This window comes from Homo sapiens, chromosome 19 (assembly GCF_000001405.40).
Source record: "Homo sapiens chromosome 19, GRCh38.p14 Primary Assembly".
NCBI lineage: Eukaryota > Metazoa > Chordata > Mammalia > Primates > Hominidae > Homo > Homo sapiens.
In genome coordinates, this window is record NC_000019.10 from 28,388,367 (window position 1) to 28,407,937 (window position 19,571).

At 44.8% G+C, this 19,571-nt stretch overlaps 4 annotated features.

Annotated features, from left to right (window-relative positions):
* Positions 2,674-2,910: a silencer, noted in NCBI's record as "fragment chr19:28881947-28882183 (GRCh37/hg19 assembly coordinates)". NCBI's record gives its function as "represses an EF-1alpha promoter that drives an FKBP-Casp9 reporter gene in an ReSE screen in K562 erythroleukemia cells {active_cell/tissue: K562}" and the evidence as "EXISTENCE:reporter gene assay evidence [ECO:0000049][PMID:32094911]".
* Positions 11,541-12,195: an enhancer, noted in NCBI's record as "H3K4me1 hESC enhancer chr19:28890814-28891468 (GRCh37/hg19 assembly coordinates)". NCBI's record gives its function as "activates a minimal SCP1, AML or CMV promoter by ChIP-STARR-seq in naive and primed H9 embryonic stem cells {active_cell/tissue: H9 hESC(naive and primed)}" and the evidence as "EXISTENCE:reporter gene assay evidence [ECO:0000049][PMID:30033119]".
* Positions 12,196-12,849: an enhancer, noted in NCBI's record as "NANOG-H3K4me1 hESC enhancer chr19:28891469-28892122 (GRCh37/hg19 assembly coordinates)". NCBI's record gives its function as "activates a minimal SCP1, AML or CMV promoter by ChIP-STARR-seq in naive H9 embryonic stem cells {active_cell/tissue: H9 hESC(naive)}" and the evidence as "EXISTENCE:reporter gene assay evidence [ECO:0000049][PMID:30033119]".
* Positions 14,217-15,177: an enhancer, noted in NCBI's record as "H3K27ac-H3K4me1 hESC enhancer chr19:28893490-28894450 (GRCh37/hg19 assembly coordinates)". NCBI's record gives its function as "activates a minimal SCP1, AML or CMV promoter by ChIP-STARR-seq in primed H9 embryonic stem cells {active_cell/tissue: H9 hESC(primed)}" and the evidence as "EXISTENCE:reporter gene assay evidence [ECO:0000049][PMID:30033119]".

A 19,571-nucleotide genomic window follows, 5' to 3' on the forward strand; every position in this document is an offset into this window, starting at 1 on the left:
GTTAATACAGTTGGGCCATCAGGTTAGTAATTTAGAAAACCTAATATGTATCTCCCTAGGTTCATCTGCATCATCACAAATGACATAATTTCCTTCTTTTTAAGGCTGTATAGTATTCCATTGTGTGTATATGCCACATTTTGTTTATACATTCATCCACTGTTGGACACTTAGGTTGATTCCATACATTGACTATTTTGAATAACGTTGAAATGAAAAAGGCAGTGCAGATATCTCTCAGGCATATCCATTTCAATTCATTTGGATATGTACTCAGGAGTGGGAGATACAGTGTGGATATTTGTCTTCTCCAAATCTCATGTTGAAATGTGATCCCCAATGTTGGAGGTGGGGGCTGGTGGGAGATGTTTGGGGCGAATCCCTCATGAACAGCTTGGGGCCCTCCCCACAGTAATGCATGAGTTCTGGCTCTATTAGTTCACATGACCTGGTTGTGTAAAAGAGTGTGGCGCCTCCCACGCTGCTCCATCTCCCACCATGTGACACCCAGCTCCCCTTTCCCTCTGCCATGACTGAAAGCTTCCTGAGGTTCTGAGCAGAAGCAGATGCTGGTGCCCTGCTTGCACAGCCTGCCTAGCCATGAGCCTCAGGTATTTCTTTATACCAATGTGAAACAGACGAACACAGTATATTGCTGGCTCAATTATATTGTTAATTTTTTGAGGAAACTTCATACTATTGTCCAAAATGGCCGTAATAATTGACATTCCCACCAATGGTATGTCAGTGTTTCTTTATCTCCACTTCCTGGCCAGCACTTACCTTTCATCATCTGAATCATAGCCATTCTAACAGGTGTTGAGGTTACAGCACAAGTTGTAAATCTCTCACTGAGGTTTTCATTTTCATTATGTGATGGTTAGAGGGGTTGAGCATTTTTTCATACATTTGTTGGCTATTTGTGTGCTTTCTCTTGAGAAATGCCTGTTCATTTCATTCGTCCATTCTTTCAGCAACTTATGTGTTTTCTTGCTATTATTTGAATTTCTTACATATTTTTGACAATAGCCCCTTATCAGATGTATAATTGAAAAATATTTTCTTCCAACTCATGGATTGTCTCTTTACTCTGTAGATTGTTTCTTTGTTATACAGAAGGAGGACATAAGTGAAGTAAGCCAAGCACAGAAAGACAAATACTGTATTACTGCACTCATATATTGAATCAAAGAAAGTCAATCTCATAGAAACAGCAGGTAGAAACGTGGTTACCAAGGCTGGGAGAAGGGAGAAGGAAGGGGAAAGGGGAGATGTCGATCAAAGGGGAAAGGGGAGATGTCGATCAAAGGGTACAAAGTTTCAGTTACACTGCAGGCATAAGTGTTTGTCATCTACTGCACTGCACAATGACCACAGTTAAGACTAATGTATATATACAGATATATATTTTTTGAGACAGGGTCTCACTTTGTCACCCAGGCTGGAGTGCAGTGGCATAAACATGGCTCACTGTAGCCTCAACCTCCCAGGCTCAAGTGATCCTTCCACTTGAGCCCTCACAAGTAGCTGGGGCTACAGGCACATGCTCTACCAACTTAATTTTTTTATTTTTTGTACAGAGTGGGTTTCACCATGTTGCCCATGCTGGTCTTGAACTCCTGAGCTCAAAGGATCTGCCTGCCTCGTCCTCCCAAGTTGCTGGGATTACAAGCGTGAGCCACTGTGCCTGGCCAATCATGTATATTTTAAAATCGCAAAAAGAATAGATTTGTGACATTCTCTCTACAGGAAATATGATAAGTTGTTGAGGTGATGGATATGTTGATTAGCTTGTTTTAATCTTTACACGATGTATCCAAACATCACATTGTACCACATAAAAAATACAATTATTGTCTGTCAATTTAAAAATAAATAAATAAGCCAGTTAAATAAATAAGGATATAACCAAATAATGGAATTCATAAAAGTTATATGATTAATTTACAGCCACCATAAAGATATGACACATATGTATTAAATATATTCTCTGTGCCAGGTCCTATTCTAACATGGCGCTAAAGATATAGCAGTAAAAAAAACAAAATTCCTGCCTTCTTGGAGCCTGTATTTTAACGGAGGGTGACAGACAATAAACACATAAATAATTGGAATGCATAAAATGTCAGATGGTGGCAGCTGTGATGGGGAATGATACCGCAGGAAAGAGGACTGAGGAGTCTGAGGAGCTGAAAGAAGGGAGGGTTGAAATTTCATATAAGGTGGTTGGAGAAGGCTCCAATGAGAGGATGATGTGTGAGCAAAGACCCAGTGGAGGTGATGAGCTAACAAGTTATGTCAATAACTGCAGGGAAAGAATCCAAGGCAGTGCTAAGGTCTTAGGTAGGGTGGCAGTATGCTTGGTGTGTTTGAGGAATGTCAAGGAGGCCAGGTGGCTAGAGGGAGTAAGGGGAACAGAAGAGTGGGGGCCAGATAGGCAGGAGCTTACAGGCCATGACAGGGATATTGGCTTTCACTTTATTATTACTATTTTTTTAAGACAGAGTCTCACCCTGTATCCCAAGCCAAAGTGCAGTGGTGCAATCTCAGCTCACTGCAATCTCCACCTCCTGGACTCCAGCAATTCTCAGGCCTCAGCCTCCCCAGTAGCTGGGACTACAGGTGTGCGCCACCACACTCGGCTAATTTTTTTGTATTGTAGTAGAGACAGGGTTTCACCATGTTGCCCAGGGTGGTCTCCAACTCCTGAGCTCAGGCAATCCGCCCCACTCAGCCTCCCAAGGTGCTGGAATTACAAGCATGAGCCATTGCGCCAGGTGGCTTTCACTTTAATTGAGATAAAGCCATGAGAGAGTTTTGAGCCAAGAAGTGGCATGATGTGATAATAAAATGTAAACTTCAAAAGTTGATACATTTCAAAAAAAAATCTGCTGGAATTATTTATTTTTTCCAAAATAAACTTTCTAAATGATGAAAGATTTAAATACAAAAAAGAAACCATAAAAGCACTAGAAAAAAACATAAGGGAGTGTATTTATTGTCTGAGAAAAAAAGACATTAGTTTTCACATCAAAACTAAAAATGAGGAAGAAAAATGCTGACAAATTTGATTATGTTATAAATTTTAAATTTCTGAATAGCAAAAATCAAAATTAAAAAAAGAGAGAGCTGTAAAATATTTACAGACGCATAGAAGCCTTACTACACAAACGTGTTTGCAAATCAAAAACAAAAGGCATTAACAGAAGAGAGAATAAAATAGCCAAAACCAAAAATTATGGTGAATGGCACGCACATTGGAAGATATAAAATTAAAACACAATCCAATGCTATGTTTCATATATCAGATTATGTTTTACCTTCTTTAAATCTGTCATTGTAAACAAAGATATGGTAACTAAAGTCAACCTGAAAGGAAGAAGCTGGGGTGCAAAATAATATTTATTTATATGAGATGGAATTTCACTCTTGTCGCCTAGGCTGGAGTGCAATGGCGTGATCTTGGTTCACTGCAACCTCCACCTCCTGGGTTCAAGCGATTCTCCTGCCTCAGCCTCCCGAGTAGCTGGGATTACAGGCACCTGCCACCACACCAGGCTGATTTTTGTATTTTTAGTAGAGATGGGGTTTCACCAGGTTGGACAGGCTGGTCTCAAGTCCCTTACCTCAGGTGATTCACACACCTTGGCCTCCCAAAATGCTGGGATTATGGGCGTGGGTCACAGCACCCCGCCCCAAAATAGTATTTAAAGAATTTACTGGAGCCAACGTGAGGACACCTGCCCGGGACACACTTCCCAGGTGCCTTGGGGAGTGTTTGGTCTGCCTCTTTCACAAGGTTTTTGAAGTCAAGGGGAACAGGGGGTGGGCTGGTACAAAGTTGTTTGACAGGAGTTCTCACTGGTTTAGAGAGATAACATTAATTAGAGATTGACTCTACATTGTTGACCTATAGGGTATGAGTTAAGGTGTCCTCCTAGGGCATTTTATGGCTATGGGGTGTCAGTTAGTTTAGAGCCCATAGAGGAAGTGGCTTCAAGAGATAATTACTTAGCTCCAGGGGTGATGGCTGTTGCATTTTAAATTCCTCTCTGGGTCTAAACATTTAAAGGGGCTCACATTTCTCACATAAAATGGTTTTTTGTTTTGTTTTGTTTTTTTGTTTCTTTCTCACTAAAGGCATCCCTGAACAGCAATTTGGCTGGATCTGTTAATATTTTAAAGTTTATCCTTTGGCCTAGCATTCCCATCTATAGCTATTTCACCCCGTAGAAACACCAAGTGCAAAAATATGCCAGGCTGGCCAGCCACAGTGGCTCACGCCTGTAATCCCAGCACTTTGGGAGGCCGAGGCAGGCAGATCACCTGGGGTCAGGAGTTTGAGACCAGCCTGGCTAATAAGGTGAAACACTATCTCTACTAAAAATACAAAAATTAGCTGGGCTTGATGGTGGGTGCCTGTAATCTCAGCACTTTGGGAAGCCGAGGTGGGCAGATCACTTGAGGTCAGTAGTTGGAGACCAGCCTGGCCAATATGGTGAAACCTCATCTCTACGAAAACGACAAAAATTAGCCCGGCCTGGTGGCACCCACTTGTAATCCCAGCTATTCGGGAGGCTGAGGCAGGAGAATCACTTGAACCTGGGGGGCGGAGGTTGCAGTGAGCCGAGATTGCGCCACTGCACTCCAGCCTGGGCTACAGAGTGAGATTATGTCTCAAAAAAAAAAAAAAAAAAAAAAAGAAAAAAAAAAAGCCCAGGCATGGTGGTGAGCACCCATAGCCCCAGCTCCTCAGAGGAGGCTGAGGTTGGAGGATTGCTTGAGCCCAGGAGTGTGAATCAAGCTGGGCAACATAGCAAGACCCCATCTCTAAAATAAACAAATTAATTACTTAACTAATTAATTAAATATATATCCAATTGGATGTTTATTGCAGTGAAGTAATAGTAAAACAATTAGAAAAATCTAAATACCCATCAACAGATTTTGATCAACTTATCTGTGAATGATGATAATATTTAATATTAGGGTACCTATATTTAAAATCATATAAACCTTAAATATGTTACCTCAGTGACTGTGTCATAGAATACAAATATAAAAGCTTTTTTTACTACCTTTTAAACTTTATGTTGAGGCCTCATCTCTAGAATCCAGAATATACAAAATGTTGCTAAGAGATTAAAGGCAACTGCCAACCTTAAAGAATGAAGTTCAGAAGATATGATTAAGGGTGGAGTTTATTTGGGCACACAGCTTGAGGATGCCCGTCTGGGAGACGCCGACCCCAAATGAATAGGGAGAGCTGGTGTTTGTTTCACTTCTAAAGCCAGAGACAGAAACATCGGTGAGATCAGGACACTTTCCACAGGATAACAGGGCAGAGCTGGAGCAAACTGATCAGTCACATATTGTTCCATTCCAAGGAAGATGACTCCACTCCAGGAAGAGGGTTAGTGACCTAAGGGGGTCTTGACACTGTTGGGTTATAATTATTTACGAGCAGAAAAAAGCGGAAGCCGCAGCTGCATTCCACGTGACTCTGCTGCATAGCCATGTTCCTCACAAGGCTCAGAATAAGGTAAAATTCCAATAACTTTAAGTTTAAATTATTTTAAGTTTGAATTATGTGATATCACAAAACCAAAATACTTCACCCCAAAATATGTGTCTTAGGCATATTCTGAGCTGGCTGTTCAGAGGGCCTGCAAACACAAGGAGCCCTGCAAAGCTGTCTTTTGTGGGGCAGATTTGCACCTGCAGAGGAAATAAAGGGAAGTAAACAACAGATGTGAAAGGCTTTCTCCGAAGTCCTCCTTGTCAAGGTCCAGGAAAGATTAACTGAGAGGCTGACACCTTTAAAGGTCTTGCAGAGAAACATTTACCAGAAGCTGCCACCCACCCCCTTTGAGGGCTGCCACCTGAGAGGCTCCAGCTGTGTACCAAGACTGCCTCTGCTAACCAGGCCTCTTCTCCTCTTCTCTCTCTCCCGTATCCTTTTTGCCATGATCCAAGCCCCTATTTTCTGTATATTCAAGAGGGCTAAAAGCATCAACCATCTTGACATTTGTTTGAGTCTTTATATTTTGTATGACTCCCAAGCCCATATGAATGCTAATAAAATGTTTACACCTTTTTCCCCTGGTAATCTGTGCATTACATTTATCTTACAGACTCAAATTACCAAAACTTCAGGAACAAAGTTAAATGTTCCTTCAAAATATAAGACTAGGAAATCAGAGTTGGGAGAGAAATTAGAGTTCATCTATCCTCTCACCTCCTTTTTCATATGGAAATTTATGACTCAGAGAGGGGGAGTAACTTTCTTAAAATCATGCAGCAAAAGACAAGGTACAAGATCTCAAGTTTTCTGACTTCCAGTTAAGCATTTTGCTCCCAGAATTTTCTCAGACTCCAGAAAATGATAAGCCCTTGCAGGGCTGGTCCTTTGTCTCATCTCCCTTTTCTCCTCTATGATCCACACAGTGCAATGCACAGAGCAGAGCCTCAACGAGCAGGTGACAGAAGGAAATTTAATCAGTGGTTAAAGTTAAGCACTTGGCTGAGCCTCACCAGTGGGTGTGCTTGGTCTGTCAGCACACAGGACTTCCCCTTATGGCTCCTCTGCCCTGATGCCATGAAAAACAGATCAGGTCCCATAAATCGTGAGGAGTACATCCCCTCAGCAAGGTGACTGGAGTCACACGGTTCACTCCTTCAGAGCAAAGATCTTCCCGTCTCATAAAGCAAATTCCATAAGGGGCCTTAAGAAGACTTTGTATGTAATTTGCTGAACCTTAAGCCCAACATTTGAACTATTTTCCATGGAGACCTGTCTGTTACGCGCCTGGTGCGGAGCACTGCCTGGATTTCAGAAATCCACCCCGGTCCTGTGCTTTCTCACCAGAGCAAGACCCAGCCTGGAGGCTCCATGACTCCTGATGCCATTTTTCTCTCTCATTCTCTAAGAAACAGATCCTGAAACAAAAATTCATGAATAAAAAATGTATCTGGGCCCAGGCGCAATGGCTCACACCTGTAATCCCAGCACTTCGGGAGGCCAAGGCAGGTGGATTGCTTGAGGTCAGGAGTTCAAGACGAGCCTTACCAAAATGGTGAAATCCTGCCTCTACTAAAAATACAAAAATTAGCTGGGTGTGGTGGCAGGCGCCTGTAATCTCAGAACCCAGGAGGCAGAGGTTGCAGTGAGCTGAGATCGCACCACTGTACCCCAGCCTGAGCAACAGAGCAAGACTCTGTCTCAGAAAAAAAAAAAAAAGTATCTGGAAGGTGATCCCAGGAAACACAGGTAAGGGAATAGAAGAGTGAGATGGGGCCAGGTGCAGTGGCTCATGCCTGTAATCCCAAAGCTTTGGGAGGCTGAGGTGGGAGGATTGCTTGAGCCAAGAATTCGAGACCATCCTGGACAACATAGAAAGACCCCATCTCTACAAAAAAAAAATTCTAAAAAAATTAGCCAGGTGGTGGTGCACACCTGTAGTCCCAGCTACATGGGAGATCGAGGTGGAAGGACTGCTTGAGCACAAGAGTTTGTGCCAAGAGCTATGATTGTGCCACTGAACTCCAGCCTGGGAAACAGAGTGAGACCCTGTCTCTTAAAAAAAAAAAAAAAGTGAATAGAAAGGCTGGGTGTGATGGCTCACGCCTGTACTCCCAGCACTTTGAGAGGCTGAAGTGGCAGATCACTTAAGCCCAGGAGTTGGAGACAAGCCTGGGCAACATAGTGAGATTCCATCTGGACAGAAAATTAAAAAAAAAATAGCCCTGTGTGGTGGCATGCAGCTGTAGTCCCAGCTGCTTGAGAGGCTGAAGTGGGTGGATCACTTGAGCCTGGAAAGGTCAAGGCCACAGTGAGCTACAGTCATGCCACTGCACTCCAGCCTGGGTGACAGCTAGACCCTCTCTCAAAAAATAGTCATCATAATGAATAAGAGGATTGCAGGAGGTAACAGTAAAGGATGGATTATCAAGCTAATTACCAATGTGGGCAACTGGAACTTGATCCTTCTGAGGCAGGAGGTGCAACCTGACTCCAGAAGCGGGACTAGGACGCCAGAACAAACTGAGGACTGTCTGAAACAGGAACTGCGCAGATGTAGCTTTCCATAAGACACGCCCACTAGTGAGCCGCGTCAGTTTACTGTTGCCATGGCAACACTGGGACGTTACAGTCCCTTTCCATGGCAATGATCTGATGACCCTGAAGTTACCACCCTCATCCTAGAGATGTCTGCATAGAGATGTCCTTTAATTTGCATATAATTACAGGTGGGATAAACGTGGCTGCAGAACTGTCCTGAGCTGCTCCTCCAGGCACACAGCCTGTGGGGTGGCTCCGCTCTGCGAGGAGCAGTCCCCCTGCTGCTGCACACAGCCGCTTCAAGAAAAGTTGCTGTCCAACACCACCGGCTCGCCCTCAAATTCTTTGCTGGGAGAAGCCAAGAATTCTCCCAGGATAAGCTCCAATTTGGGGCTCACCTGCCCTGCATCACTTCTGGGCATAGAACACACTCTTTGGAGTTAGCTCCCATGAGGACAGAGGGGCTGGGACATTTGTACTGACTCAAGGCAGCCTCCCATCATGGGCTGTCCATGGAGGCAGGGAAGATTATCTTGTTTATCAGATCTTCCAACGTGCAACAAAAAGATCCCGGGGTAGTTGGAAGTCTACACTACACTACACTACAGTGATAAGACCCAGGGAGGGATGAGTGAGGCACAGACATTATCTTTTAAATATATTTTGTCTGTAAAGTGATACTTAAATTTTAGTTAAGAGGAGAGACTGAATGAGAAACTATTGAAATCTTAGGACAGGGCTTTAAAGACTTAGCTCAAGTCCCCACCCAAGATTGTATTTGTTGCCCAAAACTGCCCACCTACCCATCCATTGACTTCCTTGCATCTCTCAATGCAAAGAGAGACTTAAAAACTGTTTCAGGTTAATCGGAAGTAAAATATTTTGGCTTAGCAAAATCACTGTGGATGGAAATTGGAGCAACCCCATGAGAGCGCGTGCCTGAGCTCAGAGCTGCCATGTGCACTTTATTGGCGCTGGGAGGAGGTAACTGAAGCGGAGAGGTTCCTCACTGATGGTGGGGAAATCGGCTTTAACAGCTAAGGCAGGAATTAGTCACCCGGGGACTATCTGGGCATGCTCCGTGAAAGAGGCCATCTGTGGCTGTTTATGAGGATGTGTTTGTGAAAAGCGCCTGGCAGGCTCTGCAAGAGGGTTCTGGCGCCACTTCTGAGTTTCCTTTTCCTCCCTAGCCCACCATGCCTTGTGACAAGAGCGCTCTCCCTGGCCATTGCTCAGCCAAGGGGTGGGCATGAACTATCCCATGTTTCAAGGTGGCACCTCCACCTCTAGGGCTCTCTCAGTCTTGGCCTGGAAGAGCTGTCAAAGGAAAATGGGGCCCTGAAGGAAAAGGAGGAGAACCTGACAATTCCGAGTTAAGAGCAAGGAGAAAACAATAAATTTACAAACCATATTAGTGGTTCGTAACTCACTTTGTGACGCCTGCTTTGGTCCACGTGAAGATGAGGGAGAGGCATGCTCATGGGGTGGCTCTTAGTGCTCTGAATGGGTAGAGGAAAATTGTGGCCACAGGGCCGCAGGGCACAGGCCTTGGCTGATCTGATTTTCCACCATCCCCCATTACATTGTTCTGCATTGAGACACTCCCTTTTGGAGAGTGGTCATACACTCGATTTGAAAGAAAATCTTGATGGAGAGGAGGCAGTCATGTGGTTCATGAACTGCTCAGGCAGCAGCAAATCTGGGCTTCCAATTCCAGTACATATTTGCCTGATGTCTGTGTCTCAGACACCTCATAAAACATTATCTGGGGGTCAGGGAGCGGACGAAGCCAGGGTGGGCAGACTCTGGCATCCAGTGTGACTGCTGGACCCTCCTATCCCCAGCCAGACACATTTTCACAGCAGCAGAAGGTCATCAGGAGATAATGAAGGAAACAACAGAACAAACAAGGAAACGTGAGACCTTGCTCCTCAGAGACATGGAGAAGCCACCAGTCTCAGAGCCAGGGCATGCATAATTCCTACAGTTCATACCAGAACAGAGTTAGAGGCTTCCGTCCAAGTCCTTTCCAAAGGCAAATTACCATGCCTCTCCTTGAGGCCTGTGTTCTTGTCAAGCCCAGGAGCCCTGCAGGATGTGATCCCCCAAAGCAGGCCACCTGCCACCATGCACGCCCACCTCCAGAGTCCCTGCTTTTCCTAGAAAGGCATCCAGGACTTCTGTACATGAACCTCAGCCTGCCTGGCTCACAGCATCCCTCCTCTCCCCTCCTATCAACAAGGCTGTTATCAAAATAATTTTTTTGTTTTTGAGGCTGAGTCTCTCTCTGTTGCTCAGACTGGAGTACAGTGGAGCTATCTCGGCTCACTGCAACCTCCGCCTCCCGGGTTCAATCTATTCTCCTGCCTCAACCTCCCGAGTAGCTGGGACTACAGGTGCCCACCACCATGCCTGGCTAATTTTTATATTTTTAGTGGAGATGGGGTTTTGCCATGGTGGCCAGGCTGGTCTCGAATTTCTGGCCTCAAGTGATCTGCCCACCTCGGCCTCCCAAAATGCTGGGATTACAGGCGTGAGCCACCGTGTCTGGCCCAAAATAAATTTTTAAAAAATTTTCATCAATTATTTATTTATCCTTAATTTTTCAACCTTTAAAAAATTTTCAACTATTTTAGAATCAGGGGGTACACGTGCAGGTTGTTACATGGGGATATTGTGTGATGCCGAGGTTTGGGCTTCTATTGAACCTACCACCCAAACAGTGAGCATGGTACCCAACAGGTGGTTTTTCAACCTTTGCCCCTTGTAGTCTTCTCCTTCTTGTAGTCCCCAGTTTCTATTTTTGTTATCTTTGTGTCCATGTGTAGTCAGTGTTTAGCTCCCACTTTTAAGTGAGAGCATGTGGTATTTGGTTTTCGTTCCTGTGTTAATTTGCTGAGGAGAATGGCTTCCAGCTGCATCCATGTTGCTGCAAAAGACACAATTCTATTCTTTTTTATGGCTGTGTAGTATTCCATGTTGGATATGTACCACATGTAAAACAAATTATTTTTGGTCTCTTGAAATTTCCCTGTATTTTCCTGCTCTCTCCTCTAATTAGGGTGGTTGCCTTCCCAGATCTCCACTTGTGGAAGGGGAGCTACTCCAGATTCAACTCAATGGCCTTCTCCCCAGAAAGCCATGCATACTTCTCCCATGCTCTCACTCTGCTTGGTTCATCCTTGTTGCAGCTTTATCAGCCTTTGCCTGGGCTGCACCTGCTGATGCACATGCAGGCCTCTTCCATTGGGATCCACACTTCCAGATGCAGGGCTCATTCCATTCACCCATGCCTCCTCCTGACCAGGATTTGGATGTTCTGTATATTTGTATGCACACACACACACACACATACACATATAAAGTATGTGTAGGCACTCAATAAATTCTTGTTGAATGAACAGATAAATGAATAGACATTTTCCTGAGTTTTCTAAGACATAATATTCTTTACCCCCCCTGAAATTGGAAACATGACCCTTAAGGCTGATGGTATTTGTTGAGCAACTGCTATGTGCCGGATGCTGCGGTGGTAACTTGTACACTTGCTCTCTCATGCAAAAGCTACAACTCTCTCATTCTAAGGCTGAATCACACTGTGGTTGGCGTGAGGTACAATCCCAATGCCATCTATCTGCTCCAGGCTGTGGATAGGAATAGAGGTCCAATTAGACTTCAGTTCAAGCCACCTGCTGAGAGAGGAGCATAGGCCTCCCAATATCCCCTCCCATTGTTTCTGAGTCCTGCAAAGACAGTCTCGTGAGCCACAGACCTGGTCCAGCTCCATCACCAAGCAGTGTGGGCCTGATTCTGCCTGCCATGGCCAGTCACCCCCATCAATGCCTGTGCAAGGTGCACCGCCTCCGAACATCCCAAAGCTCCCAGATGTGCTGGAGGTGGCACAGGATGGAAGAATCCTGTCCCCGGCCCATGCCACTCTCTCATGGCCTGCAAATACCAGCAGAGTGGCTTTGGGGCCCAACTCATAAAAGCTTTGGCTGGCTTCTGGTCCCCACCCCTATACCATGGGATTCACACCAGGGCCAAGGGCTGGGCAGGGCATGTGAGATGCTGCTCCTTGTTTATCCTTGTCAGCCTGTTCCAAAGCACCAACATCTCCTCCCAGCCTCCCAGTTATGAAACAAAATCCCCCCTGCATTCAATGCGTGCAGCAGATGCCATAGGTGGGAGGAGGGGCAGCAAGGGCAACCTTGGCAGCCTGAGCCCCAGCCCACCCACCAACATGCTCTGCCAAGATTCATTTACACTTGCCAAGCTCTGGGCTATGTACTCTGCCTTCATTATTTCATATTAACTCTTAGTTAATACAGTTTAAATATCTGTGAAGATACCTATTATTGCCTTCAATTTCTAGATTAGGAAACCCACTGCAAGGGGTTAAAAAAGTTGCCTAAGTCCTCAAAAATAGCGTCAGGATTAGAGTCTGAGTTCAGGCCCATCTCTATCCAAAGCAGTGCTTTTAATAAGGTAGATTTCTCATGTTAGTCTTTTTCTTCTAATTAATCTGTAAGTTTCTCCCCCTGCTGTTTGGATATTTACACCTCTCTTGTTCATGGGGCTTATCCCTGGGCTGAGTAGAAACTTGTTGAATTAGGTTAAAATCCTGAAGTCATCCTAAGCTGCTAAGGAAAGTTACTTTTCCCAGAAACCTATAACCTCTCTTGGGAGCTCCTTATCTCTTTCCTCAAAGCAGGGAATATGCATGAACAAGACATTTAATTACTCCTCGTGATCAGCTCCTACATTCTGTAATAATTATCTTTGGCGATGTTATCTTGAGTCCCCTGGGTGGTATGGACATTATGAACCATTAGAGGCTGTTCTGAAAGCTGGCCATCAGTCTGATTCATATTAGGCCAATTACTTTTACTAAAATTAAAATTTGTCAAGGATAGCTTGATCATGAGTCCTGGCAGCTAAAAGGAGCCCTTTAACCAGCCATGAAGCACTCTTTGGCAGAAGCACAGTGATTTCATCTCAAGCTGAAGGTCTGGTTCTTAGTGAAACTACCAGAGATCAAAGGGACCAACTTCCCTGGATTTGTCACCTTGGACAAAAGCCCTGGCTCCCGGTAACCACTCCCGCTGGAATCACGCAGTCAGTCATTGCTTAGTTCTCTTCTATGGCACTCAGAGGTCCTCAATAGAGACAAAGACCAGCTCATGGACTCAGCAATCATGGGTTTTATGGTGTAGTTGGTATAACAAATCTATGTGTTACCCACACAACACACATTCCCATGTTTCACTTGCCAATAGAATCCCAGTTTTGCTAGGAGCAGCAACAGGACGTGCTAAAAAATAATTATTTTCCCAGCCACCTTTTCAAGAAAGCTGGTCATATGACCTAGACATTAAAGAGACCTAAAAGGAAGTCTGCTTCTAGCTTTCTGGGAAATTTTTCTTTTCTGACAACAACAACAACAACAACGACAAAATGCATGTGCTTCCCGTTTTCTTTTGTCTTCTCCCTTCTGCTGCATGGAGTAAGCATGCACTTGCTGAAAGTGCAGCTGAGACAGGCCGGCTGGCTGATTTCCTATTTTGACATGGGCTAATGTTAAAGGATAAAAGCCCTTCACTCAAACTCTGGCTCATCTAACCCTCAGGCAATCAGTACAAAAGACCTGGGAACCTATTGACAGCAAATTTCTATCAGGGGGCTAAGGGCTTTCCTCAAGTACTGCGTGTGCAGTCAGACTTAAGCTCCAGCCTAAAGTTACTCTTTCCTCATCATGATGCTAAAATTCATGCCCAGAGTGGAGATTTAGAATGCTAATACTACATGCAATGCATAAAGAAACGTGCTGAGCCACTGTGCAAGCACTGGACAAACTCCTAGACACACCCTGACATAACCCTTCCCTATAAAAGACCCTATAAGGCTGAACTACACAGTCTCCTTGGGGGCCACCGCTCTTTTTTCCTGTCTCACGCTGGCTCCCCATTGCACAAGGTAATAAACTCTCCTTTATTGCCACGTCTTTCTTGACTTCTATCCTGGGAAATGGAAAAAACCCAGGGCACCAGTCTCATCTGCCACCCTGCAAACATGAGATGATCAACTTAAAAATGAAATCTGACCTGGTTAAGAATGGAAGAACGGAACTGTAAAAAGACGCTGGGTCCTTGGAGACACGGGAGCTGTTGCACAGCGTTGTGTGGCCCTCCTTTGAGCTAGGTTGAGGAAGTTAGGTTTCATGTCACTTACTGCTGAAAGTAACAGGTACAGTTGCAAAGACAACCAAAGAAAGATACATAATGACCCCAGCTGAGCAGGAGCATGAAACAGTGTGATGGGTGGTTCTATCTAAAGACCACTCAGGTCTGGTGTGGTGGGTGGTTCTATCTAAAGACCACTCAGGGCTGTGGCCGAGGATGGAAGGCAAATGAGATCAGCATGGGCTGAGAATTCTCTCTGCCCGCACCCTTCACAGCATGTCTTCATTCTCACGTGTGGAGCACCTGCTGTGCTTATGTGTCAGGCACTGGCTGTGTGATGCTATAAATATAATACGACTATTACATGGTTGCTTGAAAACATGAATATTTGTAGGTTCGGTATTTCCTAAGTACCCATGTCCCACTGCCGGCCATCCAGGCCATGTGAGCCTCCCCCCACCGAGCCCCTGAAGAGGGCTCCTTGCTGCACTGGCCGGCACACATCACCACGCTGAGCATGGGGCAGAAAGGTCCCGAGGAGAAGGGCTCACGAGATGCCACCCAAGGGCATTGTATGCTGTTGCTGTAAAGGCCCAGTTCTCACCTTGTGTCACTTGGCCTCATCGTCACATTCTCTGGCTGACCTTTCTGTAATAAATATGTTTCCGAAATTTTATGTTAAGCTGATTTACATTTTACATATGCTATGATGGTTTCCAATTTTACTATTATAATCAATCCTGAGTCTAAACTTTTCTGTAAAGTGATTACTTTCTCCATTTATCTGATTGTTGGAACTAGATAATCGATTATCAAATTTTTATGCAAAATGAAAAAATCAGAGATAATGTCAATAAAATATCACGGAAAATGCACCTGTGATGAAGTTACCAGCATGTCCCTAAAACCTGCTCTACCCACAGCTGTTACTTCCTAGCTGATGGGAAGTCCTCCTTCCAGGTATGTAGGCCAAAAGGAAAAAAGTGCTGTTCTAAACACGCATCTTTCCCTTACAGCCACATTCAATCCTTTAACAAACACTGTTGCTCCTGCTTCCAGAATGCACACAGAATCTGAGCTCCTCTCGCCACTTCCCTGCCACGACCCTGCTCCAAGCCACCATCATCTCTTAACTGAATTATTGCATCAGCTTCCTCACGGATATCCTGTTCCCACATTTACCTCCCCGCAGTCTATCATCCACCACAAGGATCCCCCAGGTCACTGTTGTGCTCACAACCTCCAAAGGCCCCTGCCTCTCTGGAGCAAAAGCCAAAACCCCACCCAACCAGTGGCCAACATGACCCACGTGTCTCTCTGCGGGCTCTCCCGGGGCTCTCCCTGGGCTGCCTCCTGCCTGGCTGGCTCCACCACACTGGCCTCCAGCTGCTCCTTGGGGCCTGTGCTCTGGCCACTGCCTCTTCCTGGAATGCTCTCCCCTCCGGATGTCTTCATGGTTCACTGCCTCTCTTCCTCACCTCTGTGTTCATGTGTCATATTCCGGGCTATGGGTTGGACAGGACCAGGGTGTACATGGGGAGGCTGGATGGGAGGGCCCTAGTCGCCTCTGCTCCCCATTTTCTTAAACCAGAGCAGCTTCACTTTTGTGGGCCTCATATACTGGAGTTTCACATACGATTTTATTTGAGCAAAGGATACTAACTACTGTCTCAACAGAAAGCTTGAAAAACCACCAGATCGAAAGGGGCATGGCAGGTGGTTGGGAGTCTTGTTAGATATTGTTGATGTATTTGTGGGAAATGATAATGTGTGGCCCAGGATAGTGGGGGAAATGAAACAGATGGCCTTGGGAAACACTGTTGAGGGTGAATTTACCAAGCATGTTTATTGATTGGCTGTGGAAACCAACAAGTATCTGAGGCGGGTCTCAATCAAATCAAAAGTTTTTTTTGTCAAGGTTAAGAACATGCCTGGAAGAAAGGACTACGGGATCCCAGAAACAGCCTGTAGTCTGTGCCCTTCTCCAGAGTTGACTTTGAGGGCTTCAATATTTTAAAAGGGAAAGTGGGTTGGAGGGAAAAGAGGGAGGGCATGGTCACATTACTGAATCCACATGTTGCAAGGGAAAAGGAACAGGTGGGGAAATAGTCAATCATGCATCCTTCCTGCACTCAGTAAATCGGCACTTTACACAGACAAGGTGAACGCAGAGTAGAGATATTAATAGTTAGCCTTTTATCTGTAGCTCTCTGCTTAGGAAGAAAAGAAAAGGCAGCTTCTTGCATGACTCAGCTTTCAGCTAATTTTTCCTTTTGGCAGGGTGCATTGGGGTCCCGAGATTTTATTTTCTTTTCATGGTTGTGGGACAGGAGAAAGAATTAGGGATGCTCTTTGCCTCTGACATGAATACTGGATATGTGGTGATTGTTCATGCCAGATACGCAGGTATCTTAGATGAGAAATTCATTTTTATTGAGTTTCGGGTGTTTGAGACAGTCCCAAGAAAACTATTTTCATTTCCTGGCTGTCAGGAAATAAAAATGTTTTTATTTCCAGTCAGTTTCAGGGATAAGGTGAGAGACAAGGTCAGATAGGACCAGGGATTAAGTAGTCATCATAAATAATAGTGGCTGCCATTTGTCGAGGGCCGGGTGTATGATAGGCGTCGTATTAAACACTTCCTCTCATAAGGAATTAAAATGACATTATAAACATAAAGAGTGTTTGTTCATGTCGTATTTCTGTTCTTCTCATTCACTTAAGTTAGTGAAAAGTGGGATATGCATGATGAAAGAGATGCTTCATAGAAATGGTGGGCAAAGGAGCTGCGGGGCCTCTGGGAGGAACTAGAAGCAGCCCCCGCACACCCTTAGCCCCGCTTTGCCATCTCTTGCCCGTCCTCCTCTTGAAAGATCCTCTTCGCCCTGCTCTCCAGCTGCACCGCAGCCTGCCCTGGGCCTCACCTCCTTCAGTGGAATCAGCGCGCCCAGGAAGACCGAGCCCCTGTTGCCCAGCAGCGGTCACCTGGTGACGAACACACCCTTTTTTGTCTTTCTTTCCTCCATGTCTCACTGTCCCACTGCCTCATCGTACTTCTCTGGAGGCTACCTCCACCCAAATTATTGTTTCAGGGTCTGCTTTGCGAGAGAACTTAAAATAAGGCAGAGAATGTGAGGGAAGTTTCTTGGACTGTGCAGACAGACCAGAGAAAAACAAAGAGGCCAGAAAACAGAGAGCGGAGGCCAAGACCTTCTGCTTCCCGAGGGACGCGGCGCCCTCCGGCGTAGCCTGAGGGGCATTAGCATCTTCGCAGTCACTAACCACGGTCATCCATCTCCTGCCTCCGCGCAGCTCCCACAGACAGCCTGAACGGAACCTGTTAATTACGCTCCCAATCAGTCCATAGATCAAACGTACAAACGAGCAGCCCGTTCCTTCCTTATTATTATTGCCACTGCCACACTCCTGCCCATAATCCCTGGCCCACAGCCAGGTCTTTGTGTTGTTTTGAAACCAGCAAAAGCAACAGCATGAATCTTCTGTTAAAACACACACACACACACACACACACACACACACACACACACACACACACACACAGGCACTCCACTAGGCTATTTTTATTTCCTGGCTGACAGTCCTTTTATCATCTCCAGTGGGTAAGAAATTAATTGGGGGCTTGAAAATACAATTTTTCTATAGGTGATTACTGTAAACCACTGGGCTGCCTTGCAGAGAGGGGACTGTTTCCATCTCAGGCTAGGAAAACTTGGTGCATTTTTTGCATTATTTCTAAGACATCATTTCCCAATTACCTTTGAAATGCTTCACTGGCAACCCTCCAAAACAAGCCCTCTCCTTGCTAACAGGGTACATGGGGGAGTTCTCCACATCATTTAGAGAGCCTTATATGCACAATCTCCCCTGACACAAGCACTCCCTGAAGGATTAGCGAGCAGCCACTTGGACTAATAACAATTCCCCAATATCACAGGTGAATAATTACCAGCTCTTCTTCTCTAAAAATGGGGAAATAAAAGAAGATGGGTAGGACAGAGGTACCCAGAAGAAGAAAGAGAGGAAACAGGACTAGTTTCATTTTTTTAAAAGAGCATTAGGTTAGAATTTCACCTTCAGTTTAACCTAAAACTATCTGTATCTGTATCTCTATCTCTATCTCTGTTCTCTCTATCTCTCTCTCTGTCTCTCTCAATAGATGATAGATACAGCTATATTTTAATATCTCCCTATTTCTCTCTTTTTTCCTATCTCTCTATCTTTCTCAGATAATGTTTCCAGTTTATCTTCAATGTGACATTTCCATAAATTGACGGGGCTCACAGGGTTTACAACAAAGGCATGTAATAAGCCCTGCAAATACTGGGGAGTCAAGATTCACACACCTTGAGTAATTGGGGCACCACAGAGCAGAATATGTAATCAAGTACAAAATGTTGTGAGCACAACAACAATTACACAACAAGTACAATCAAGTTGTGAGCAGGAAGTATTTCTGGAAAGGGAGAGATAAAGGAGGGAGAGGGGATAACAATCTCTGGACACTAGTCTTGGAAGCTCCCACCCTACGCAGGCTGTGACAGGCTCCTCATGACCCCACCAGTTAAGGCCTTGTTGGGTAACACTCATTCCTAAAAAGCTCCACCTTATCTTGAACTGAAAACTGGCTCCTAAAAGCCTTGTTTCTTCTTCCCTCTGAAGCCTCGGAACACTGAGTTTCTTTCTTATTCCTCAAGATATATGAAGGTAGTTCTTCCAAACTCTCAAGTCTTTAATGACCTCTAATTTTCTGACTCTAAAAAATCTTTTTTAAAGAAAAGGATCAGATTAATGTCACTCTACATTTAATTTTTTAAAAGGCATTTTCAAATGAAAGAAGCCAGACATAGTTTAGGATTTACGCTTGACAAAACCAAGCCCAACTCAAGAGAACTGAAAGCAGAGACTCAAACCTGTGTTTGCACACCGGCATTTACAGCAGCATTATTCATTGCAGGCAAAAGGTGGAAACAGCCCAAATTGATGGAAGAATGGATAATCAGAATGTGGTACACGAATACGACAGAATATTATTCACCTAAAACAGGAATGAAATTTTGACACATGCTACAAAATGGATGAGCCTGGAAAACATTATACTAAGTGAAATGTCAGACACGGAAAAATACTGTATCATTGCATTCACATGACCTACCTAAATAGTCTAATAAAAAACACAGAAAGGAGTGGGGTGGTTGCCAGGGGCTGGGGCAAAGGAAATAAGGAGCTATTGTTTAATGGCATGGACTTCCAGTTGGGATGATGAAAAGGTTCTATAGATGGGTAATACTGGTGGTTGTACGACAATG